This window comes from Homo sapiens, chromosome 16, assembly GCF_000001405.40.
Source record: "Homo sapiens chromosome 16, GRCh38.p14 Primary Assembly".
Classification (NCBI taxonomy): domain Eukaryota; kingdom Metazoa; phylum Chordata; class Mammalia; order Primates; family Hominidae; genus Homo; species Homo sapiens.
Genome location: NC_000016.10, coordinates 19,228,394 through 19,255,693, shown reverse-complemented (window position 1 = coordinate 19,255,693; position 27,300 = coordinate 19,228,394). Strand labels below are relative to the sequence as shown.

Genomic DNA, 27,300 nt, shown 5'->3' with positions numbered 1-27,300 from the left:
CCTGGCTCAGGTTCCTGAGTAGCTGGGACTACAGGGGCACCTCACCACGCCCAGCTAATTAATTTTTTTTTTAGACATGGGGTCTTGCTATGTTGTCCAGGCTGATCTTGGACTCCTGGCTTCAAGCAATCTTACTCTCCTCAGCCTCCCAAAGTGTTGGATTACAGGTGTGAGCCACCGTGCCTGGCCTGAATTTTTTAATGCATTTGTTTTCAACAGGGGCCAATTTTACCCCACAATCTGGAGGCATTTTTGATTGTCATGTCTTGGAGGGAGGGGTGCTGCTGGCCTCTAGCGGGTAGAGCTCAGGGATGCTGCCCCCCATCCTACAATGCACAGGACAGGCCCTACAGTGAAGAATAATCCAGCCCCAAATATCAGTGTAAGTGTGGAGGTAGAAAACCTCTGCCTTAAGGGAAAAGCAGCAACGATGGGAGTTCCCTTCATTAAAACCGAAGCCTCCCCTCTCCCAACCAAAGGAAAGCCATTGAGATTCAAAAGACTATGGCAGATTCACAGGGTAAAGGAGCTGGGAGACTCAGGAGCAGGTGGGAGGAAAGTCACCTCCACTGAGCTAGACAGAGCTTGGGAGCTCAGCACAGAAAACAAATTTAGAGCGAATTTAAGGGGAGAGAAACGGGGGAGTGGAGGAGAAACCACGGAGAAATGCTGCTTTGGCTTATGAATGAGATCTCTTTCTCCTTCCTCAAGAGATGAAAGTCAAGGTTGAAATTTCTTTTAAAATTCCTTTGGGGCTGTGGGACCCCTTTCTTTATGCCTCAGTGTGGAGATTGAGCCACATGGAGCCTGCACTGAAGATGACATATGGGTTGAAGAATCACTTTCAGATCCATGTGTGAATCACACCGACTAGAAGGAAGCACACTTAAAGGTGTCACTATAAAGCAACGTGCTTGTTTTGACATGAACAACCAAAAATGTATACATCTGACTGAGGGTCCTCTCTACATTTGTTTCAGAGAAGCTGGCATCGCTTGGGGGAAGATGTACACTGCAAACTGTCTACAGAGCTAGTTACAATATTTCATCTACGTCATGAGCTTTGGGGATGAGGTAAGGCCTGCAGAAGGTCTGGAATCAAATTCCAGGTTCACCATGAGCACCTGAGCCAGTGTGGTGATATCATTAGAATGTTATGTTGTGATCTTCCAATTTCATTTTTGTCTTTAGGGGATAATAAATCAGATCTTCCCCCGTCAGTGCCCAGCTTTACCCCCAAGAGATTCTGTTGATTGGTTTGGGGTTGGGGGCCTGGGTGGCACTGGTTTTCAAATGCTCCCCGAGTGAATCTCATGTGCAGTCAGCTTAGATGCAGAATCAAAATATGAGTTGACTGGTGGCTTAGCTGGGTTGTAGAAAGGGGCCCGATCCTACTATTTCCTCTTCTTGATTTAAAACTCTCTGATCATAACTGTGCAGGTTTTGTCCCTGCAAGGTGAAGCCTGTCCAGCAGACTCACTCAGGGAGTTGCAGAGGGTGGTGCCTGTGGTGGGCAGGCAGGTCCCAGAAAGAAGAGGAGAGCAAGAAGACCTTTAACAACTTAGTCCCATCCCACAGAGATTGGGACCTCTACATGCAGTTATTATGTTCTCCATTACGTAAGTCACCTCTTCCCTGAAAAGAACAAATAAAGAATTGAAAGAGGACTGGGTGCGGTGGTTCACCCCTGTAATCCCACCACTTTGGGAGGCCAAGGCAGGTGGATCACCTGAGGTCAGGAGTTTGAGACCAGCCTGGTCAACATGGTGAAACCCCATCTCTACTAAAAATACAAAAAATTAGCCAGGCATGGTGGCAGGCGCCTGTAATCCTAGTTACTCGGGAGGCTGAGACAGGAGAATCTCTTGAACCCAGGAGACAGAGGTTACAGTGAGCCGAGATCGTGCCACTGTACTCCAGCCTGGGCAACAAGAGTGAAACTCCGTCTCAAGAAGAAAAAAAAAGAGAATTGAAAGAGAGTCCAGAGGTGTTACTCTAGGGCCAGGGTAGGCACACTTTTTCTCTTTCTTTTCTTTTTTCTTTTCTTTTCTTAAGAAGCAGGGTCTTGCTCCATTGCCCAGGCTGGAGTGCAGTGACATTATCATAGCTCACTGCAATCTCAAACTCCCAGGCTCAATCTAGAGTTTCCAATCTCTGTGGGATGGGACTAAGTTGTTAAAGGTCTTCTTGCTCTCCTCTTCTTTCTGGGACCTGCCTGCCTCAGCCTCCCAAGGACCTGGGACTACAGGCACACACAACCACACTTAGCTAATTAAAAACTATTTTAAAAAATTTTTTTTTTAATATTCAGGGTCTCACTTTGCTGCCCAGGCTTATCTTGAACTCCTGAGCTCATGCTGTCCTCCCACCTCGGCCTCCCAAAGTCTTGGGATTACAAGCATGAGCCACCATACCAGGCCAACATACTTTTTCTATAAAGGGCCAGAGAGTAAATATTTTAGGCTTTGAGGGCCACCTATGGCCTCTATTGGAAGCATTCAACTTTGCTGCACTAGCAGAAAGCAGCCACAAACAGCATGTTGATGAATGCACATGGCTGTATTCCAATAAAACTTTATTTACAAAATCAGGAAGTGGGCTGTAGTTTGCTGACCTCTGGTCTGTCTAAAGCAGTGGTTCCCGAAGTGTGGTCTCCACACCAGCAGTAGCAGCATCACCTGGAAACCTGTTAGAAATGCGAATTCTCAAGCCCACACAGCTATACTGAATCAGAAACTCTTGGGCAGGGGCTCAGCAGTCTGTTTTAACAAATCTCTGGGTGATTCTGATGCACGCTGGAGTTTAGCAGGACTACACATAACCACCTAGGGAGCTTTTTAGACTATAGTGATGGGGGAGGGGATCTTCCTGGCCAATTGACACAGTCTCTGGAGGTGGCACCCAAACATCCATCCCAGCTTTTTAAAGTTTTCCCAGTGACCCTAATGTGTAGCCGGGTTTGAGATTCACTGGCTTAGGGTAAGTGCCTCATGCAAACATTAAGTTGAGGAATAGAATCCTCTTCAAAACATCCAAAGAAATCAGCCTCATTTCTTTAGAATGATGCTTCATTTCTAATTTTTTTAAGGTGCTGCTGAGCTTAATCTAGATGAACCATTCAGCTTTCCATGACCTCAAGTTATTTAAAAAAAAATATATATATGTATATATATATGTATATATATATGTATATATATATGTATATATATATGTATATATATATGTATATATATATGTATATATGTGTATATATATGTATATATATGTATATATATATGTATATATATATGTATATATATGTATATATATATATGTATATATATGTATATATATATGTGTATATGGCAGCACCGCACTGCAGCCTGGGTGACAGAGTGAGACCCTGTCTCAAAACAAACAAACAAAAACATATGTGTTTCATTTCAAAGGATGAAGAATTCTGCAACATTTATGTTTTCTTTCAATGTGGGGCAGTTTCTTGAGGTCATTTCAAAAAGACGTCTCAAACATGGTTTTTTTGTTTTGTTTTGTTTTGAGACAGTTTTGCTCTGTCGCCCAGGCTGGAGTGCAGTGGCATGATGTCAGCTCACTGCAATTTCCGCCTCCTGGGTTCAAGCAAGCACCTCCAGCTAATTTTTGTATTTTTAGTGGAGACGGGGTTTTGCCATGTTAGGCAGGCTGCTCTCGAACTCCTGACCTCAAATGATCTGCCTGCCTCGGCCTCCCAAAGTGCTGGGATTACAGGTGTGAGCCACTACACTCAGCTCAAACATGTTTTGAACAGCGGTAACATCCCTTAAAGATCAATAGGCCACATGTAGAGACCGTGTGGCCCTGTGTATGCGCAATCCCTTTCCACCCTCACAGCAGTCTAGGAAGAAGGTTGTGAGATGCTCCCACTTTCCAGAGAAATAGATGGAGGCTCAGGGTGTAAGTACAATGAGCAGAATTGTCCAAAAGAGGCTCTAGGAGCTTAGGCGAAACATCTGGACCACGAACTGTCTGGGACCAGCTTTCCTCCCACCCTGGTGGCTTCCTCCCCTGGGAAGAGGAAGCTGTCACTTCCCATGGGCCCTAAGGTCTCTGGTCACTGGTGCTAACCCACCTGCCCCCACTGACAAGGTTGCCTGCTCACGCTTGCGCTATAAAATGGTGGGATGGTGGGCACAAAGTCCTGGCCCTAGAACTCAGACACACACCACAGACCTGCAGCATCTCTCCAAAGGATGGTGGTTACGGAGAGGGAATTCAAGCTTCTTCCTTTCTTGCCAATGCCTGTCCTACAGGCCTTTTCCTTATTCCCCAACAGAGTCTATTCCTTAACCTATACTGTGGGTTAATGTGGCATGTGTCTGGAATCCTTGTGCAAGACAAGGTGTCAAATCCCAGTGACAGGAGGAGGCCCACCTGGGACCCAGCCTGTGGTCCAGTGGTAGAGCGGGATTTGAATTCGGGTCCTGATGACCTTTTATGAGTGAGTTGCAACTCCTAACCTCAGCTCTTGGCATATGCGGCATCCCAAATTATGCTCTGAAAGAAATGCCACCTGTTTTGATGGGCAAATTCTAGCATGTTTTAAAAATCACCCTATTACTAGAATGGATATGTAAATTGTGGTATAGTGACACTCTGAAACACTATTATCCTCAAAATGTGAATAGAAAAATGACATCTACACACAATGACACAAATTTCACGAAGATAATGCTGAATGAAGGAAGGGGTGTGATCCCATTTACATAAAGGTCAAAAAGAGGCAAAATGAATATATGGCAGGAAAGGTCAGGATGATGGCTGCCCTGGGGGAGGGGGAAGTAACTGACATGGGCTATGAGGGAATTTCTGAGAATGTTTCTGGTTCTTAATCTGAGTACTGGTCACATGGGATCGTTAATTTTGTATAAATTCATGAATTGATGCACCTTTCTGTATGTGTGTTGGACTTCAATAAAAAGTCACCTTAAAAAAAGAACTAATGGGGCCACGCATGGTGGTTCACGCCTGTAATCCCAGCACTGTGGGAGGCTGAGGCAAGGTCATGCCTGTAATCCCAACACTATGGGAGGCTGAGGCAAGAGGATCACTTGAGCCCAGGAGTTCGAGACCAGCCCTGGGAACACAGCAAGACCTTTACAAAAAAGATTTAAAATTAGCTGAATGTAGTGGGGTGCCCCTGGAGTCCCAGCTATTTGGGAAGGATTGCTTAAGTCTGGGAGGTCGAGACTGCAGTGAGCCATGATGGCACCACTGCACTCCAGCCTGGGCAATAGAGTGAGACCCTGTCTCCAAACACACACACACACACACACACACACACACACACACACACACACAAACATGTTTGAGACATCTTTTTGAAATTACCCCGAGAGTCTGCCCCACATTGAAATGGGATTAACATCAGCAACTGACTTTGAAATGTATGATAAAAATATGAGTCGAGAGAGAGAGTTGGATAGATGTGTGATAAAGCAAACAGCAAAATGTTCATTACAGAATCTGATGGGTAGAAATATGGGTGTTCATGGGACAATTCTTTCAATATGTTAAAAAATTTTTAAATAAAATGTTAAACCAAAGCCTTTAAAATAAAAGCAACCAGACACACAACCAACTCAATCATTCTACTTTTATTGCCTTTACTTGCTTCTTTATGCCATGGAAATGTTCATTTCCAGGTGAGGGTATCCAAGGACTGATACCATGAGCTGGGTGACTACTCAGTTCGCAGGCTGGTATGGGGCTGTTGGATCCTAGAGCAAAAAGAGGACTTGGTGAATCTGCTGGGGACAAGGGAGTGAGCAAGACAAGACGACCTGGATGAAAGTATGGAGCCCCCAGTGACTCCAGGTTATCCCAATGACTCCAATAACAGACCATGCATGGCCAGAAACACCAACCAGGGCCTGAACCAAAGAGTCTGAAACCTTCATATTTTGTCTACCCAAAACACCAAACAAAGGTTCAACGGTCCTTTGTACCAATGAGCACACTGGATCCTGCTCAGAGCCCTCTCCTGCCTTTAATGCCTTCCACCTTCCACATGAAAAGCACTTGGAAAGATGTTCCACACCAACAGTCATGAGAAAATGCAAATTAAACCCACAACCACTTGTTTCATTTTTAAAAAATATCCCCGCAGTCTTATTAAAGTCTTATTTACACAGAATAAAATCCATCCATTTCCAAGTATCTAATTTGATGAATTTTAATCACTGCCTATGATTGTGTAAGTACCACCATAGATAATCAAGATATAGCTCTTTCCCCAAAGAAAGTTCCTTCTTCTTGTCCCTTTCCACTCCATCCCCTCCCTGGCTCAAGTTGGCTGGACACAGGTAGTAGTACCTTGCCTGCTGCTTTCTTCCACCATAGTTTATTTACTTATTTATTTATTTATTTATTTATTTATTTATTTTTGAGACGGCGTCTCGCTCTGTCGCCCAGGCTGGAGTGCCGTGGCATGATCTCAGCTCACTGCAAGCTCCGCCTTCTGGGTTCACACCATTCTCCTGCCTCAGCCTCCTGAGTAGCTGGGACTACAGTCGCCTGCCACCACGCCTGGCTAATTTTTTGTATTTTTAGTAGAGACGGGGTTTCACCATGTTAGCCAGGATGGTCTTGATCTCCTGACCTTGTGATCCACCCGCCTCGGCCTCCCAAAGTGCTGGGATTACAGGCGTGAGCCACCACACTGGCCTCTTTTACCATAGTTTTGCCTTTAGTAGAAATCCATATAAATGGAGTCACACAGTATATAGTCATTTGCATTCACTTAGCGTAATGTTTTTGAGATTCGGCCATGTGTATGTGTACTAATATGTCCTTCCTTTTTACTGCTGAGTAATATTCTTTTTGTTGTTGTTGTTGTTGAGACAGAGTCTTGCTCTGTCACCCAGGCTGGAGTCCAGTGGCGCGATCTCAGCTCACTGCAACTTCCGCCTCCCAGATTCAAGTGATTCTCCTGCCTCAGCCTCCAAAGTACCTGGGATTACAGGCACCCACCACCATGCCCAGCTAATTTTTTGTATTTTTAGTAGAGATGGGGTTTCGCCATGTTGGCCAGGCTGGTCTCAAACTCCTGACCTCAAGTGATCCATCCACCTCAGCCTCCCAAAGTGTGGAGATTACAAGCGTGAGCCACCACGCCCGGCCCAGTAGTATTCTAATGTATGAATGTCTCACAATTTGTTTATCCATTCATCAGTTGATGGACATTTGGATCATTTCCACTTTTTTGGTGATTACAAATAATGCTTCCAGGAACATCTGCATACATGCCTTTTTTTGTAGACATATGTTTTTGTTTCTCTTGGGTAAATACCTAGGAGTATAATTCATGGGTTGGATGGTAAATATATATTTACCCTTATAAGCCCCATTCATAACTGTTTCCAAAGTGGCTGTAGCATCTTGCATTCCCACCAGAAATGCATGAGAGTTCCAGTTGCTTCATATTCTCACCAACACTTCTTGTTTTCCATCTTTTAAACTTAACTGTACTAGTGGGTGTGTAGTGGTAATGTATTATGGTTTTAATTTGCATTTCTGTTGACTGATGAAGAGCAGCATCTTTTCATATGCTTCTTTGCTATCTATGTATTCTCTTTTTGTGCGGTGTGCCTTTTCAAAGCTTTTGCCCATTTTTCTTGGGGTGTGGACTGTCTTATTGAGTTACAAGAGCTCTTTATATATTCCGGATATGGGCTCTTTGTTGGATATATGTTTTGCCAAAAATTTCTCTCAGGGCATGGCTTGGCTTTTTATTTTCTTGACTATGTCTTTTGAAGAGCAAAGGTTTTCAATCCTGTTGAAGTCCATTTATCACTTTTTCACTCATTGCAAAAATAATAATCCACACACTGGATTTTGGAAGGCAGTAACCTTTAGAACTGCTTTGTCTATGCCAACTATAAAATAAAACTAAAGTCAAATCTGAGATTATTACATAATTAAAAATAAAGATGATTTTAAAGGTAAAGAGGGATGATAAAAAATGGTTGTTCAGAACTTAACAATTTTCAAAGCTTGCTTATGTCATTCTTACAAGAATCTTCTGCGGGGCAAGGAGTTGGGACCTCCCTGAGCTAAAACATTTTCCTAAGTCATCTGTCTCAATTGGATGCTTCAAGAAGACACAACAAAGTAAAAATTGTGCCACTGGCTGGTTGCAGTGGCTCATGCCTGTAATCCCAGCAGCACCTTGGGAGGCCGGGACAGGAGGGTTGCTTGGGGCAAGGATGTGTCATTTTTTTAAAAATTGCAAATTTGACGATATCTATCAAAATTGACCAACATGTATGCTTTGATCCAGCCATCCCACTGCTAGGATTTAGGTCACAGTACATTTGGACACATCAGCAGAGATATAGGTGAGGATGCTCACTCTAACAATGTTTCTAAGCCCAGAAAAAGTGATTAACCTCAAGGTTTACCAACAGGAGACCTACCAAATAGATTACTCTTCAACTAATTGACTGAATGGGATATCATACGGCCGTAATAATGAGAGGGCTTTATACTTCTCCACCTCAATCACTTGATCTCTTTGCTGTTTCTCCTGCCAGCGCCTTTGTGTTGCTGTTCCCTCTGGCTGGAATGCTCTTCCCACAAACGTCCACATGGTATATCTCTGATCTCCTAAAAGGCTAGGATCAAAGGTCACCTTCCCCCTGGCCACCCTTTAATAACTGTCACCCTCACCCCATGCATCACGACCCCCTTTCTCTGCTTCCGTTTTCTCATTTGGATTCAACATCACCTCTCAACTGCAAAATTCAGTTATTTGTTTTGTTTATTGCCTGTCTTCCCACATTAAAGCATTAGCCTGCTGAACCTGGGATTTTTGTCTAATTTGCTCACTGTCATAGCCGCAGTGCCTGGCTCATAAGAGGGACTCATGAATATTTGTTAAATGAATAAATAGGTGCTAATTTGGAAAACTGTCTAAGATGTACAAAGTGAGAAGAGCAAGTGGCAGTAAAGCATATACATTTTGGATGCTAACAAAAGAGAGTAGAGATATAGACATACACATACCCAGATGTGCACATATACACGCACACACATACGTATACATACCACGCACACACATATGTGTACGTATATACACATATTAGTGCATACATTCCTGGAAAGAGCCTAGATGTTACAAGTGGTTAGCTCTAAGTAGGGGAAATTAGGGACTTTTACTTTTTGTTTTATTTCTCCCCATTTACGGTTGCACATAATATATGTGTGTGTAGTTTCTAGATATTTGAATAATATATAAGTGATATTCATTTTTACATATTCATATTGCAAATATTCATTAATGGATATCAATTTATTAATATTCATTATTAATATATTGGTGGCTAATATTTATAGAAATAGTAATACAATATACACATATAAATTATAGGCCAGATATGGCGGCTCACACCTGCAATCCCAGCACTTTAGGAGGCTGAGGCGGGCAGATCACCTGAGGCCAAGAGTTCGAGACCAGCCTGGCCAACATGGTGAAACCCCGATTCTACTAAAAATACAAAAATTAGCTGGGCTTGCTGGTGGGTGCCTGTAATCCCAGCTAGTTGGGATGCCTCTTGAACCCAGCAGGCAGAGGTTGCAGTGAGCCAAGATCGCACCACTGGACTCCAGCCCGGATGACAGAGTGAGACTCTGTCTCAAAAAAAAAAATAAATAAATAATATACAAAATATAGGAATTATATCTAAATAATAATATGCATACATGCATATGCATATATATGCACATATATACATACATATAGTATGGAAAAATTATATCTTTTATAACAGCAATACTAAAAAGCCATCAGTACTGCCCTTTCCCATGTAACCCCTTCACGTCACCGCATTCAGGTGATATTCTGCTCATCTTCCCAAGAGGGCTCCCCGCTCCCTCTCAAGCTGGGCTGAGCTGCAGTCCATCTGCCCAGGCCCTGTCACCTGGGGGATGGGGCTTGTTTGCAGAGCAAGGTATTTCTGTTTGCCTACGTTTTTATGGGTGGAGACAGGGAAGCCATTTGAAAAATCTGCACAGATGAGCGTGGACTCACTCAGCATGCTCTGGATCTGAGCTCTTCACACTCAGGCAGTTAAAGAGAAGCCACTGGGAATGATGAGAGGTTAAAATGCCATAAGGAGAGTAAACAAGCCTCAAACAGGTGCAGAACAGGTGCTGACTGGCTCTGAGCCCAGGCAAACCTGCCCTTCTCGGCGCCTGGTGGAGATCACCACCTCACCCCAAAAACCTCAGGGGACCCACAGAATCCCATCATTCTAGCTCAGGGTTTCTTCACTTTGGCACCATAGGTATTTGGGGCTGGATGATTTTCCGTTGTGAGGGGTTATGTGTTCACTGTAGGATATTTGGCAGCACCCCTGGCCACTACCCACTAGATGCCAGTAGCATCCCTGAGCTGTGACAATAAAAATGCCTCCAGACATTGTCAAATGTCCTCTAGGGAGACAATGTCACCCCAGGTTGAGAACCACTGATTTCACTGCTTTCATAAGTCAGCAGGTGACCCGGGCTCTCCAGCCAAAAGGTTTTCCAGGCTCTTGCCAGCCTGGAATTTGGTGGCATGAGATTCCCCCACTGTTGACCCTGACCATAAACTCAGAGGCCACAGGTGCTCAGGGAGGTCGTGGAGCAAGCATGTTGAAGGCATGGACTGGCTCTTCTATTTGCCTCCTTGGGTATCTGAGCAGAGATGGCTGTGTGGTCACCAAAGCCTGTTCACTCTCTCCCTCAACGTGTAGCTGGACTACATTTCCCAGCCTCTCCTTCAGAGTTTCAGCCAGTAGAATATGAATAGAATTGGAAGTGGAAGTGATGTACATTACTTCTAGGCTCAGCCCATGAACAGTTCCCATGCAGTCCTCAGCTCTCTTTCCTCCCCAACCACCAGCTAGAGATGAAACTCCCCAAGGCCAGAGAAGATGGCAGAGCCATGAGATGGAAGGCGCCTGGGCCGCTGAATCACCACATGGAAGGTCACTCATGACAGGATCCTCGAAGGACCATGGTGCAAGAAAGAAGTAAGATTCTGGTCCAGGCTCGGTGGCTCATGCCTGTAATCCCAGCACTTTGGGAGGCTGAGATGGGAAAATTGCCTGAGGCCAGGAGTTCAAGACCAGCTTGGGCAAAACAGTGAGACCCCCATCTCTACAAAAAATTTTTTAAAATGGCAGGCACGGTGGCACATACCTGTAGTCCCAGCTACTCAGGACACAGAGGCGGGAGGATCACTTGAGCCCAGGAGTTCAAGGCTGCAGTGAGCTAAGATTGTGCCACTGCATTCCAGCCTAGGCGACAGAGCAAGACCCTGTCTCAAAAAAAAATAATAATAAAGAAAAGAAATAAGCTTCTGTGGTGTCAAACCACAAAACCTTGGCAGCTGATTTGTTATAGCAGCTAGCCACACCTTAACTGATACAGTGACTTCTAGCTTTGTAGTGAGTCATATGAGATCTCTGAGCTTCAGTTTCTTTCCCTGTAAAATGGGATAACATCAGAACCTACCTCGTCTGGTTGTTGTGCGATGAGTTGAGACAGTGCTTATAAAGTACTTGGGACAGCACGTGGAGGATTCTAAGACTTTAATAAATGTTGGCTATTTTTATTATAAGAGCTACCACTAAACTCCTGCCCCTCGCCCAAGTTAGGAGCTCTTCCCATGATGTCTTTTGTGCCTTCTTTTCCAAGCCACACTTAATAACTTGGAAAAGTACAACTTGCCCTAGTCCTCAAGTGCCTTAGGAACTTATTGAGTCTTAGAGGTGCTTCTTGTAATGAGGCTGGGGCCCTTATTTTATCACGAGGTTGTCAGGGCATATCTTTTTTTTTTTTTTTTTTTTTTTTTTTGATGGAGTTTTTTCGCTCTTGTTGCCCAGGCTGGAGTGCAATGGCGTGATCTTGGCTCACCACAACCTCTGCCTCCCAGATTCAAGTGATTCTCCTGCCTCAGCCTCCCGAGTAGCTGGGATTACAGGCATGAGTCACCATGCCTGGCTAATTTTCTATTTTTAGTAGAGACAGGGCTTCTCCAGGTTGGTCAGGCTGGTCAGCTGGTCTTGAACTCCCAACCTCAGGTGATCCGCCAGCCTCAGCCTCCCAAAGTGCTGGGATTTATAGGCATGAGCCACTGCGCCCAGCCAGATGAGGCATATCTTAAGTGTCCTGGCTTCTCCTTAGCAGAGAGGTCACCAAGAAGGCAAGGGTGACCTTGCACAAGGATGGAAGAGGAACCCACCCACAAGTCATCCAAAGGCTGCCTCCCCTCTGCTTCTCCAGCCCAAATACAATTAAGCAGAATAAGATCCCAAAGCAGACATCTAAGGGGAATTTTGCTTGCCACATCAGCAGATACTCTCCCTGGTTCCTGGACCAGTCACTCAAGATCCTCAAGAAAGTGAACAACAGGCCCCAAAGAGCCTCCTGTGGCCAGTGTAGGCATCTGCTCATGAAGACAGAGGCAAAGATCTTTTGCCCACTGCCCGCCCTACTGACTCTTCACCCACCTGTTTGCTTTGTTTTGCTTGGTAAATAATGCCCTTGCCTATGGCTGTTTCTAAAAATAATTTCCATGATAAGCCAACTACATTCTGTCCTGCTCTAATGCAGGGCATGGGGGGAGGCAGAAACCCAGAGAAGCAGTTTTCATGTCGACTCACAAATAGGAAGAGAGAGAAAATTACACCCACTGAGCATCTGCTGTGTGCTAAGTCCTTGCATGCATGTCATCTCACCCAGTTCTTCATGGAGCCAGGAGCCACATCTCTTCTTCAGTTCTGTTTCCTCCATGCCTATCAGCCTTAGGCACACTATGGGTGTTCAATAAACACTCACCATCTAAGGCTGGGTGTGGTGGCTCACACCTGTAATCCTAGGACTTTGGGAGGCCGAGACGGGCAGATTGCTTGAGCCCAGGAGTTCAAGACCAGCCTGGGCAACATGGCGAAACCCCATCTCTACAAAAAAAAGTACAAAAATTAGCCAGGCATGGTGGCACACACCTATAGTCCCAGCTACTCAGGAGGCTGAGGTGAGAGGATCACTTGAGCCTAGGGAGGTCGAGGCTGCAGTGAGCTGAGATTGTGCCACTGCACTCCAGCCTGGGCAACAGAGTGAGACCCCATCTCAAAAAAAATTTTTTTAATTAAAAAAAAATGTATCATCTAAGTTCCTTGCTATAGTCTCTGCTAATTGCTCAGACCTCATTGCCTAATTCACTCCATGAGATCACTGTTTTGGACACTCTGGCTTTCCTTCTCTTCTTTGAACAAAATAAGCTCATTCCTGCCCCAGGGCCTTTTGCACAATTCCCTCTGCCTAGAATGCTCCTTTCCTACATCCTTCCACTGCTGGCCCTTTCTCAGCTTATATATCAAATTTAGAGTAATTTTCCTGGCCTTCTCTGTTGGCTCACTCCACTATTATTTAGCTGTTCGTTTATTTATCATTTATCTCACCCCAACTAGAATGTCAAGGTCATGAAAGGATGGATTTTTTCTGTTTTTCTGTGTTTCTTCAGCAACTAATGCAGCACCTCAACAAAGCAGGGGCTAAACACTTGAGACATATAACCCAGTAACTGAGAGCTCAGATTCTAGTCCAGATGACCAGGGTTTGAATCCTGGCTCCAGGATCCTAGGTAAGCTACTTCCCACCCTATTGTTGCCTCACTTCCCTCTTCCATAAAAGGGCAATAATGACTCCTATTGATGATAGTGAAGGGCCATCCGGAGCAGCCACTGCCATTGCTCTGGCTGTGGTGGTGGGGGGCAGTTGCGGGGAACGGGCAGTGGTGGTGGGACCCCTGTGCCCCACGTGCCCAAGGCAGCCAACTGTGCTGTCCCCACCCTTGTATGACTGGATGGGACCCACTCCCAGGCCCAGAGCCTCTGTGACTCCCGACCCTGGCACGCATCACCTCTCTCTGCCCCGCCGTAGCTGTGGGGAGGGCGCAGGAAGGAGGTGGATGGTCCTCAGAGCCTGCCCCCAGGAACCTCCACTAGAGCCTGCTGCCCTAGGGGCCACTGCAATGGGACTGGGCTGAGCCATCCACCAGTGGGAGAGCAATGCAGTCAGGCATGGAGGAGTGGGCAGAGAGCGACCCAGTGAGGACCTGGGCCCCCGCCCCAGGCTGCCAGGAGGTACGGCCAGGGCTGCACGCTCCAGCATGCTCCACAGAGTGGGTGGGAGCAGTCACAAGCGGGAGCCCTGCCTCTTCCAAAATGGCAGGGAGGGAGCTTCCTGGGTGCAGCTGCAGCCACCTAGCTACAGCTGCAGACCCAGGCATCTATGCACTCTTGGGGGCGCAGGAAGGCACCCTTCCCTCCCCAGCCCCAATCCCCCACCCCACCTTTGCTGCCTGGCTCCTCCCTGCTTTCAGCACCCACTCCTAACTCGGAGCAAAGTCAGAACTGAGCCTAGGGGGCCGGGCGCGGTGGCTCACGCCTGTAATCCCAGCACTTTGGGAGGCCGAGGCGGGCGGATCACGAGGTCAGGAGATCGAGACCATCCCGGCTAAAACGGTGAAACCCCGTCTCTACTAAAAATACAAAAAATTAGCCGGGCGTAGTGGCGGGCGCCTGTAGTCCCAGCTACTTGGGAGGCTGAGGCAGGAGAATGGCGTGAACCCGGGAGGCGGAGCTTGCAGTGAGCCGAGATCCCGCCACTGCACTCCAGCCTGGGCGACAGAGCGAGACTCCGTCTCAAAAAAAAAAAAAAAAAAAAAAAAGAACTGAGCCTAGGTGCTGTGGCAGCCTGGCCGGGTGTGCACATGCTTGGGGTAGTGCTGACATGACAGCCCCCTGATGCCTCGGCCCCTTCCAGACTTTGGGTGCCAGCAAGTATGACGGGGAGGCTGAGGAGGGGCCAAGGACAGCCTACCACTGGCCTGCAGGTGCCTCTCGGCATGAACAGCCTGAGCGCCATGAGCAACCTGGCATGAGCAGCAGGAGACAGACAGGCTTCTGGGCAGAAGAGGGCTGGTCCCTGGTGAAGCCCCGCCTTCAAACCAGGGAGGGCCTGAAGCCTGGGGACCAGGCCGCCAGTCCCGTGGACCAGAGTGGAAACCTCTGGTGCTTTTCCCTGGGCCAGCCCATGGCTGCCCATGGACCAATCAGCATACACTTCCTCCCCTCTGAGGCCCATAAAAACCCTGGACTCAGCCAGACTCAGGGTAGAGAACAGAGAGACGATGGGTAGACTACAGGCTGTCCAGCTGCTGACAGCTGGACACTTGGATGACCTGCCTAGCAGAGAGAAGCTACCCTCTCTGCTGAGAGCTGAACACTCGTTGGGACACGCTGGCTACAGAGAGGAGCTACCTGTTACGGGTCCCCTCTGAGCTGTTGTATTGCTCAATAAAGCTCCTCTTCGTCTTGCTCACCCTCCACTTGTCTGCGTACCTCATTCTTCCTGGATGCAGGACAAGAACTCAGGGCCTGCCAAATGGCAGGGCTAAAAGAGCTGTAACACAAACAGGGCTGAAACACGCCCCTTGTTTGCCACACTACAGGCAACAAGAAGGAGGGAAGAAAGAAGGAGAGGAGAGCTGCAGCCCTTCAGAGGGCCCAGGCCCAGGAGCTCCCCAAGCCAGGTTTGTGACTTCCCCTTTGGGGCCCTGTGGTTCCTGGTGTCTCCAAGCTTCTGGGCACCACTGTGTTCCCCGGTGCCAGCCGTTGAAGCTGCTTGTGGTGATCCTGGTCCAGCCGCAGCCTCGCAGTGAGCCGGCACCCATGCTGGCACCTGGAACTGCCTGCCCCACTGCAGCAGCTGGTGTGCCTGACTGTGCACAGTGGCTGAACCCCATGCTCGTTTGCTCACATAACCCTTGCTACTCTGCTCCAGTCTCTTCAGAGGCATGGGATCCAGCCTGGTAGCATGAGCCGAGCACAGCCTGCCAGGATGAGTGGGCCCAGTGGGTCCAGGCAAAACTCAGACAAAGGCGCCACCAGGCACAGTGGTTTCCGGCCAGAAAAGCAACACCCTCAATGATCTCGTAACACTATGTCATAGCGTTTCTATGCAGATTAAATGAGTTAATTCATTTGAAATACTTGGAGCAGTGCCTGGCACACAGGAAGCACGATTTAAGTGTTTGCTGTTATTACCGTCAAATACTGCATGAACAACCCTGAGATAGATTTTATATGCATCTGATAGAAGAAAAATAGAGGCTGAAAGAGATTAAAAGGTTCTGCTCAAAATGATACAGCACTAAACTCTGGGAGTCTGGTTTTCTGATTTCTAAGCCAAAGCTATTTCCACTACAGCACGTTTCCTCAAAATGTAGGCAGACAGGTGACACTAGAAGCTGTGCCCTGCAGGCCCTGGCATTTTAAAATTTTATTATACATATATTTTAAATGTTTAATTAATTAATTAATTAATTAATTTTGAGACAGGGTCTTGCTCTGTTGTCCAGGCTGGAGTGCAGTGGTATGATTATAGCTCACTGCAGCCTCCAACTCCTGTGATCCTCCCACTTTGGCCTCCTGAGTAGCTGGGACTACAGCCACACGCCACCATATGTCCAGCTAACTTTTTTCATTTACTTTTTGTAGAGATGGTGTCTTTCTGTGTTGCCCAGACTGGTCTTAAACTCCCAGCCCCGAGCAATCCTCCTGCCCCGGCCTTCCAAAGTGCTGGGATTACAGGTATAAGCCATGGCACCTGGCCAGGCCCTGGCATTTTAAAAGTTAAGCATTCTGCTGACTGGCAGCTCTGGGTTGGGAAAGTCAGAATGAGATGATGGATAGAAGGGATGTCTGAAAGCATACTCTTGGTTTCTGATTTGATTTCCTGCATAAGCCTTCATCTCGAACCTACCCAGGTGCTGGCCTTGGCTTCTGAGCATAAGATTGCATCTTGCCACCACCGAGGCACAAAGCAAGCCTGAAATCTGGCCTCTGCTGGACCCCTCGTATAGCTTAGGCCCTGCAGGCACATATGTGGTTGGATAAACCCTCAGCTCCCCGATGCTCTCCCCCATGGGGATCTGCCTGGAACAAGGTTCCATCCAAAGGCACCAGAGTCATTAAACAGCCATTCAAGTGGAATAAAAACCCTCAGGAGCCCTGGCAGCTGGCCTGATCTTCAAAGGCTGCCATTGGAACCCATAATGGATGTGTACGATCCAGCCAAGTTCTACCACCTGGTGGATGTTGGCAGATTCAAGGAGCTCTCAGGAGGAGAAGTTGAGGTCAGAGTGCTACTGGGGGCTCTGCCAGGAGAACCCCAGGGTAACAGGTCAGGTCTATGCTTCTATCTCCTGACCGCCTGGCTAGAGTTCTGGCCTCTGCCGACATCCAGGTTCAACACCACAATCAACTGAGCCCTTGCTTTATGCCAAGCACTGCACTGAGCCCATTTATACATTATTTCCTTTTGTCCCCACAATAGCCTGTGAGCTGGGAACTGAGATCTACAGACAAGAAATCCTGATTCAGAAGAGATAAGTAACTTGGCCAAGATAGGGAATGGTCCTTTACATCTGATCCATCAGCATGTTCTGCTGATCCTACCTCCAACATTATAGTCCAGTGAGTGACTCTCTGAAACCCTTCTGCCACCTCTCCAGTCCAATCTGCCATTAACACAGTGGTCTTTCAGATGATTCTCCTCTCAACAGCTGGAAGGATATTTTTCAAACATCTAAGCCACATCACTTCTCTGGTCAACATCCTCCAAAGACGTCTCAATGTACTTAGAAAAAACCATCAACTTCTTATCCTGCAGGCTCTACTTGATCTCCCCACTGATATTTCTGCAAACTCATAGTCCCCCAACCCTGCTCTGGCCATAGTGGGGTGACACGGGAGAACAGAGGGAGGGTCTCCTAGCTATTCAAAGTGGTGCAGGGCAGATGAGCCCCAAAGTAGGGCTTAGTCCATGAGGGTTCCTGGCTTTGCCCGGGAAAGAATTAAAGGGTGAGCTGGTGGTAGGGTAGAAGAAAACAGCTTTATTGAAGCAGCAGTGTGACAGCTCTGTGACTGCTCCTGCAGAGCAGTGCTACCCCATAGGCAGTGTGCTGAGTAGCAGCTCAGGGCAGTTTTGTAATCACCTTTATACCTACGTTTAATTACATGTAGATTAAAGGGTGGATTATGCAGAAATTTCTAGGAAAAGAGTGGTAACTTTTGGGTTGTCGGGTCATTGCCGTGGAAAGGGACGGTAACTTCCAGGTGTTGCCATGGCAATGGTAAACTGAGATGGCGCACTGTTGGGTGTGTCTTATGGAAAGCTGTTTTCCCCCATCCCTGTTTTAGCTAGCCCTCAATTTGGTCCAGTGTCCAAGTCCCACCTCCTGCCTCAAAAGTGTGGGTCTCAGACCAGCACAGGTGTCACCTGGAACTTATTAGAATACAGATGCTCAGGTGCCTCCTCAGGCTTATGGAATCAGAAACCACATTTTAACAAGACCCCCAGTTGATTCACAGGAACATCAATGTCGTGGTTAAGAGTGAGTGAAAAGGGCTTTGGAACCAAGCAGCTTTAAGTTGGAAGCTCAGCTCAACCACTCACCAGCTGGATGACTTTGCACGGTTGCTAGTTACTACCTAAACAGTGAAAAAGTAATCTTACCCAAAAAGAGGCCTAGCCTTTGTCTTTGGCTCCTAGGGACTGATCTCTAGGTCCCTGGAATGTTCTGCCTAAGAAGAGTATCTTTGTTTGCCTAGGGGCTTTGACTCTTGGCTAGCCTAGCAATGTGATTTATGATTGGGGCTCTAGGATCACATAGTATCAATTCAGACTTATGGTGAAACTGATCATGAAAGGTCTTACCCAGACCTCTGGGAGGGGATAGAGACTGAAGATCAGCCACCTGAGCAGTATGTGATTGAGGCTCAGTAAAATCTCTGGATGCCAAAGGCGTGACAAGCTTCTCTGGCTGGCTATACTGTTTGCATTGTCACACACAGTGACTGAGTAGAGGTAATGCTGTTTGTGACTCACAAGGCGGACAGATGACTAGAGTCTCAGAGTTTGACCCCTCCTGGACTCTGCCCTATGCGTCTCCTCCCTTGGCTGATTTTAATTTGCACCCTTTTGCTGTAATAAAACTGTAGTCATAAGTAGCACTTTCCTGAGTTCTAGTAGTCTTTCTAGCAAATTATTGAACCTGAGGGAGGTCACAGGGGCCCTGAAATTGTAACCAACTGGTCTGAAGGGAGGTAGTCCTAGAGACCTCAGAACTTACAGCTGGTATCTGAAGTGAGGGCAGTTTTGGGTGAACTGTTCTCTCACTCTGCAGTTGGCTATACTCATTGCACTTCCCGTCCCTAAGCTTCGAGTTTCCCCAGCTGAAAAATGATCATAAAATAGATCATAACTTATATGTTTGTTGAAAGATTAAATGAGAAAATCAACATACAGGTGGTTCATGATAAATAGAAGTATTACTGTCCCCATTGTTCAGACAAGAAAAAAACCGAGGTTCAGCGTGGTAAAGCAACTTGCCCACAGTCACACAGAAGCCAGCTCTGGCTGACTTTGACCATGGTGCCACACAGCTTCCTCATGAATTGCTAATGTTTTCTGAGAAGGGAAGAACAAGAGTGGTTTGGTTAAGCCAGGAGCCCAGCAATCTGGTAAGGAACTCAGGGGTTGTCTGGGGTGAGTCGCCTGTCTCCATGCCAATGCTCCCCACTGTTTTTTCTTCTTTCCTTCTGGGATTCATGTGACATAAATGTTCTGGAATCCATGTGACATGAACATTAAACCTTTTTGATATTTCTCCATAGGTCTCCCCACCCTTTTCTTTCCCCGATTTTTTTCACTCTCTGTTGCATAATTTCTCTGGATCTGTCTTCGAGCCCACTAACACCTTCCTCTGTCACCTCCATTCTGCTATTGAGTTCATCCAGCAAATATTTTGTTTCAGTGATTGTACTTTTTCAGTTCTAAAATTTCCACGTAATTCTAATATCTTCTATTTCTCTGTTGATCTGCTGACATTTTCTACCTTATCATTCTTTTCAAGAGGGTTCACCCTTACTTCGTGGAGCATGGTTATAATAGTTGCTTCAAAGTCTTCATCTGATAATTCCAACATCTGGGCCATCTTGTGGTTGGCATCTGTTGATTACACTTTCTCTAAGAATTTGCCAGATTTTGCTAATTCTTCGTAAATCAAGTCATTTTGGGTTGTATCCTGGCCATTTTTAATATTATGAGACTCTAGGTCTTGCTTAAATCCTATTGAATATGTTGACTTTTTAAGAAATTGACATGGAAAAGTTCAGGCTACAAGTTCTATCCTGCCTTCTGTTTGCTGTTATTTTGATGTCAGTTCAGTTTTCAAAGGCCTTGCAATGCTATTTGTATCTGCCCCTCAGATGTGTCCCCAAGGGACCTAGGTGGTGAGCCACCCTATAGTTTGGTTTTCAGTGTCTTTAGTAGACTGTTTAGAATAATATCCACTTGTGTAGCTTGGAGATGAGTCCAGTAGTACATACACAGTTTTATGGAACCTATTCTTAAGTTCTTCCCCTTTATAATACTCCCCATACTGTAGCTCTCAGGGGCTCACTTTTGTGGTCCTCTGGCTTTAATCCCTTCGCTCTGCAGCTCACTTCCCATGACTGATCTGGCGCTGAGTGCCTACTGCCAGGTCTTGCTCTGACCTATCTCCCCATACTGCCAATCCCAAGAAACTTCAGGGAGCACAAACGCCTGGTTCTGCATCTGAGTTGGCACAGATTTGGTGTCAATTCCTGGCTCCCAGACATCATACCACTGGCAGCTTTGGAATGATGGTGAACAGGTGAGGGAGATGCTGGGGCAACAACCACAGGCTGCTGGGCTGAGCTATTAAATACCTCCAAAGCACCAGGTTTTCAACTCTTTCACAGACTGCAATGATTAAAACAGCAGATATAATTTTCCAAGTGGCCACTTCTGGATGGGCCCACAGGCTGATTTGCCTTTAACCCCCATAAAAAGAATGATTGCTACACTTTACACAAAAGTAAGCTGGATCTCAGAGAGGCAGTGTCACTTGCTTGAGGTCACACAGCTGATTTATCATGGGGCCAAGATTCAAACTCAAGTCTGTGTAATTCCAGGTCCTGCTCTTCTATGGCAGGGTCCATCAATTATCATCATCATCAATCATATTTCACATTTATTGAGCACTAACTGTACAAGGCACTTTCTAAAGCTTTTTATATAAAATAGTGAGATTTTCAGCATTAGAGGAAAGGTAAAAATAAATATATAAAATAAAAATTGAGATTGGAAGCTCATAACAGAGAAGAAACCTGAGATCCATCAAAAGAATAGTTTGCCCGATGCCCATACACTGTCTAGGTGGTAATGGTGAATTTCTTTCTTTCTTTTCTTTTCTTGAGACCGGGTCTCATACTGTCCCCCAGGCTGGAGTGCAGTGGTGTGATCATAGTTTACTGCAGCCTTGGACTCCTGGGTTCAAGCGATCCTCCCAACTCAGCCTCCTGAGTAGCTGGGACTACAGGCAAGCACCACCATGCCTGGGTAATTTTTTAATTTTTTGTGGAGGTAAGGTCTCGCTATGTTGCCCAAGCTGGTCTTGAACTCCTGGCCTCAAGCAATCCTCCTGCCTAGGCCCCCCATAGTGCTGGGATTACAGGTATGAGTGTGAACCACTGTGAATGGCCAAAAGGTGAAATTTGAACCAAACTGTAGCTCACTCCAATCCATACTCTGAATAGCCATGCAACCTTCTCTCTATTAGGCAGAGCTGAGTCTGGTGCTCACTAAGTCAGGCTAGAAGGGGAAAAGACAGAGGCTGCTGCATGGCTGCAGAGAGAAGGTATGTCATGGGTGGGCTGTGGCCAGGGTGGGGCTGTGGGGAAGCATCTGTGCCCTGGAACAAGCTCACACATCTCTCCATCCCAGGAGAATTTCAGGCTCTCTCAGAATGCTCTGCCCCACTCAGAATTCCTTCCTTTTCTCTTCTCTGCTGGAGACCCTCTGCCTCTCCACTGTCCTGCTTCCCAAACTCCAACACTTTTTATTTTTAATTTAATTTTATTTTTTGAGACAGAGTGTCACTCTGTTGCCCAGGTTGGAGTGCAGTGGCATGATCCTAGCTCACTGCAGCCTTGACCTCCTGGACTCAAGTGATCCTCCCACCTCAGCCTCCTGAGTAGCTGGGATGACAGACATGCACCACCATGCCCAGCTAATTTTTAATTTTTTTTTTTTTTAGAAATGGGATTATGCTATGTGCCCAGGCTGCTCTCGATCTCTTGTACTCAAGTGATTCTCCTGCCTCGGCCTCCCAAAGTACTGGGATTATACATGTGAGTCACTGTGCCTGGCCCCCAACCCCTTTAAAGAACATCCTCCAGTACCCATTTGACCTGGGGTCTTTCCAAGCAAGAGGCTGGCATGCTGCCCTCCAGGCCTCCCACCCATTCCCCGCCGTGCCTTCCCACCCATCTCATCTCACCAGCAGATTCAATTAGCTGATTTGATGCTACAGCTGCAGAAAGCCAAGCAATTATGGAACACAGACCAGGTGCCTTGGCACTCGCTCTCACAGAGGGGTCTGGGAGGCCTCCAGACAGACAGCAGGGCGAGAGGGAGGTGGAACAGTAGAGGCAAAGATTGGCCAACCCAGCCTGCACAAGAGAGCCACCTGGGAGCTTTGAAGAATACAGATGCCTTCCAAAACCCCAAAAAACCCAGACGCCTGGGTTGATTCAGTTTATCTGTTCTGGGAACGGGGCATCAGAGTTTTTTTAAAGTCCCTGAGTAATACTAACGTACAGACAGGGTTAGGGAGTCAAACAATGTGCAGGGGTAGGGACCAGTGCTAGAGAGTTTGTTTGTTTGTTTGTTTGTTTGTTTATGTTTTTGAGATAGGGACTGGCTCTGTCACCTAGACTGGAGTGCAGTGCCGTGATCTCGGGTCACTGCAACCTCCACCTCCCAAGGCTCAAGCAATCCTCCCACCTAAGCCTCCCGAGCAGCTGGGACTACAGGCATGCACCACCATGACCAGCTAATTTTTGTAATTTTAGTAGAGATGGGGTTTTGCCATGCTGCCCAGGCTGGTCTCAAACTCCTGGACTCAAACGATCCGCCCCCTTCAGCCTCTCAAAGTGCTGGGATTAGAGGTGTGAGCCACCGCACCGGGCCAAGGGTTTAATTCTTATTAATGCACTGGCACAATCAATCATCACTCACCCTGATGCCCTTCCTGGGTCTATTTGTTTCCCAAAATGTGGTCTGCAGCCCCACAGCATCAGCATCACCTGGGAACTGTTAGAAATGCAGAATTCCAGGCCCACCTTGGCCTCCTGAGTTACTGAGTCAGAATTTGCATTTTAACAAATCCCTGGGCGACGCAGATGCATGTGAAAATAGAGACGCCATATTCTCTAGTCTTAGAGAGACACCAAGGGTTGGCAAAAATTGAGGCGTGTCTGTCATTGCCTTGTTTCTTTTCTGTGTATTCCATAGCTGTCCTGCACTGGTTATTATTGATGAGGCCCCTCTAAGCCTATGCCCTGGTCAATTCCCGCAGCAGGCAGCAGGGTGTGGGGGTCTTTCATGCCAACCCCTGGCAGTTTTAGCTCCCAGGTTGAAGTATGACGTCAGCCTCAATTTCTCTTCCGGGGCGGGAGCCCGGCCGACCTCTCTGCATCCCCTGCAATCCTCTCTGCTGATTAATACCTCCTTGTCCTTCAGCTCCCAGCTCACGTGTCAGCTCCTCTCACTCCACAGACTGGGTCAGACACTCTGAAATGTGCCCTGCATCTCTCCTTCAGAGCCCTTAGACCAATTTACAATTCAATCATTATTGGTGTGGCATTTAATTAATGTCCGTCTGCCTCTACTAGAATTAAGCTCCATGAGAACACAGGCCGTGAATGTCTGGTTCTCTGTCGAATACATAACGTCTAGCACGGTGCCAGGTACATAGTAGGTGCTCCAAAAATTTAATCAGTAAGGACAGACACATGGTCAGCTCCAGCCCCAGGGAGCTGGTCCCACCCCCTCCCACCTCAGCCATAACAGGCGGCCAGCAAGCAGCAGTTCCTCCACCTGCCTTCCCCCAGGCTTTGGAAACGCTTCCTTAGCCAAGGGCCGCCTCTTGATCAAGTTTGCCAAGGGAATAAGACTTTTTTCTTTTCTTTTTTTTTTTTTTTTTTTTTTTTTTTGTGATGGAGTTTCACTCTTGTTGCCCAGGCTGGAGTGCTATGGCATGATCTTAGCCTCCCGAGTAGCTGGGATAACAGGCACCCGCCACCATGCCCAGCTAATTTTTGTATTTTTAGTAGAAATGGGGTTACACCATGTTGGCCAGGCTAGTCCCGAACTCCTGACCTCAGGTGATCCACCCGCCTTGGCCTCCCACAGTGTTGGAATTACAGGCATGAGCCACTGTGCCCAGCATACAGAGGGTTTTGAGTGCCTTTCAGAAGGACAGGAAACCCTGGCCACTTAGGGGAAACTGAGGGAGGGAGAAGGCTAGAGGCTCAACACATGACATTTGGTTCTTTCAAATTTAGGGATTTCTCCAAAACTTTACCTCCAAGAAGACAGATGGCCTTTCTCTAACATCGAGAGGGAAGACAATACCCTACCCAGGTAATTCTGCAAAATAATTTTTTCCTTCCCTCTTTGGGTTTTCCACAGAATCTCAGACTCTATGTAGACAACGTAGATAAACTATATTATTTATTTATGTATATATATGTAGCCTTTCTTCAGATAAGCTCAAGGTAGCATCTAGCTGCATAAATTGGATGTCTTTCAAGTAATAATAATAACGTCTCATATTTAAAGAGGACTTTCTCTGAGCCAAGCATTGCTCTAAGCCTTTATGTCTATTTACCCATTTGGACTTTGCAACAATTCACCGAAGTAAGTACCATTATCCCCATTTTACAGGTGAGGAAGCTGAGGCAAAGAGAGGCCAAGCAAAGTGCCAAGATTACACAGCAAGTAAGTCACAAATATGAACCCAAGCTAAAGGTCTGGTTCCTAACTATTACGCCTAACTATTCCCTCAAAGTGGCAATGAAAGAACATTCTTTTCTCAGGGAAAAGAACAGTATTCCAGGTTCCAGCATCAGCATCCAGGTACTTCTCTGAATTGCTCAGGATCTGCCGGGCTGAAGCTTCATTTACTTATTTTTTCTTTCCTTCTAATTATAGCAAAATACGTGTAACATAAAAGTAACCATTTTTAGGTATACAGTTCAGTGGCATTAAGTATATTCACAGTGTTGTGTAACCATCACAACCATCCATCTCCAGAATTTTTTTTTTTTTTTAAAGAGTTTCACTCTTGTTGCCCAGGCTGGAGTGCAATGGCGTGATCTCGGCTCATTGCAACCTCTGCCTCCCAGGTTCAAGTGATTCTCCTACCTCAGCCTCCCGAGTAGCTGGAATTACAGGTGCTCACTACCACGCCTGGCTAATTTTTGTATTTTTATAGAGATGGGGTTTCACCATATTGGCCAGGCTGGTCTCAAACTCCTCACCTCAGGTGATCCACCCACTTCGGCCTCCCAAAGTGCTGGGATTACAGGAACAGGCCACCATGCCTGGCCTCCAGAACTTTTCTTATCTTCCCCAAATGAAAGTCTGCACCCATTAAATAATAACTCCCCATCCTGTCCTTCCCCCAGCCCCTGATAATCTCTATTCTATTTTCTGTCTATGAGTTTGACTACTCTAGGTATTTCACATAAATGAAATGATACGGCATTTGTCCTCTCATATCTGGCTTGTTTCACTTAGCATAATGTCTTCCAGCTTCATCCATGTTGTAGCATGGGTCAGAATTTCCTTCCTACTCAAGACTGAGTAATATTCCATTGTATGTATGCACCACTTTGTTTACCCATTTATCTGTCGATGCATGTTCAGGTTGCTTCCACCTGTTGGTGGTTGTAAGGAAAGCTGCTATGAACGTAGGTGTACAAATAAGAGTTTGAGTCCCTGCTTTCAATTCTTTTGGGTATATACCTACAAGTGCAATTGCTAGATCACATGCTAATTCTATTTTTAACTTTTTGAAGATTTGCCATCAAGCTGCATTTCTTTTTTCTGCCTTTCTGATATGGTTTGCCTCTGTGTCCCCACCCAAATCTCATGTGAAATTGTAAACACTAATGTTGGAGGTGGGGCCTGGTGGGAGGTGATGGATCATAAGAGTGGATTTCTCATGAATGGTTTAGCATCATCTCCCTTGGTACTATATAGTGAGTGAGTTCTCCTGAGATCTGCTTGTTTAAAAGTGTGTGGCACCTCCCCCTTCACTCTCTTCCTCCTGCTCTGGCCATGTCAGGTGCACGATCCCTCTTTCCCTTCCTCCATGATTGTACGTTTCCTGAGGCCTCCTGGGAAGCCAAGCAGATGCCAGCCTCATGCTTCCTGTACAGCCTGAGGACCCATGAGCCAATTAAACTCTTTTCTTTATAAATTACCCAGTCTTCGGTATTTCATTGTAACAATGCGAGAACGGACTAATACGCTTTCTTTCCTTCTTTTTCCCAACATCCAGTAAAAGCCCAATCACCTCAGTGGCCAGCTCCACTTTACTTTGGTTCAGTAAACCTTCCTGAATTTCCTGGAAGCCCTCTGGGCTGTGTGTTGCTATCTTGGGCGGTGAAAAGCAATTTTACCCCTCTTTTCATTTTTTATTTTTAAACTTCAGCTGCAGAAACCACCTGATAGAAAATTGCAGACAAATCCTCCTCCCACACAGGAAAACAAGTGTTCAGAAAGTCCAGCTTACCAGCTAATTACAGGCTTTTACCAGGGATTCACGGCAAATGCTAAATTGCAGACCAACCTTACTTTTGTTATGAAGTGTTTGGAAACATGCTAATAGGCTGGGCTTTGGTTCCTCGGCCTAGAGGTGACAGCTCTTTCTCTCAGTGGACAAATAAAGCAGGTTAGAACCTTATGAATCTGAGTTCAGGAGAACTGTAGCTTTGCTGAGATACATACTGGCTTAAGACACCTTTCTCATATTATTCCAGCCAGTACCCTTTATGTAAATTGCCACCCTAGCTGGGATTTCCACTCACAGCTGTGGTTCGGAACAATGAATGAGCAATAGAAATATCTGGGGTGTTTTTAAAAAATAGCTACTTATAGATGCTCAGTGCCTCAGCCTAGTCCAGTTGCTTTAGAGTCTCTGCGGAATGCAGTGCAGCCATTGGTAGCATTTTAAAGCTCTCAGGTAATTCTAAGGTACAGCCAGGGTTGAGAATCCCTGATTTAAGGGGGCAGGCAGGCAATGCTTCCTTCTCCAGAAAGAATATTTTCAACGAG

General features: G+C 46.4%; 1 protein-coding gene across 16 annotated transcripts in view; it reads right to left on the bottom strand.

Annotated features, from left to right (window-relative positions):
• The window catches only part of SYT17 (synaptotagmin 17), a 100,499-nt gene that overhangs the window by 12,639 nt on the left and 60,560 nt on the right, over positions 1-27,300 (bottom strand). For 4 of the 16 annotated variants that reach the window (XM_047434204.1, XM_017023280.2, XM_047434205.1 and 1 more), the window contains one exon: positions 5,616-5,753. The exons of the other annotated variants lie outside the window; for them this stretch is intronic. In XM_047434204.1, coding sequence (XP_047290160.1) covers positions 5,620-5,753 — 134 coding nt within the window. In that variant the 3' untranslated portion in view covers positions 5,616-5,619. Of the gene's footprint in view, positions 1-5,615; positions 5,754-27,300 lie in introns of those variants that run through there. 16 annotated transcript variants of the gene reach the window in all.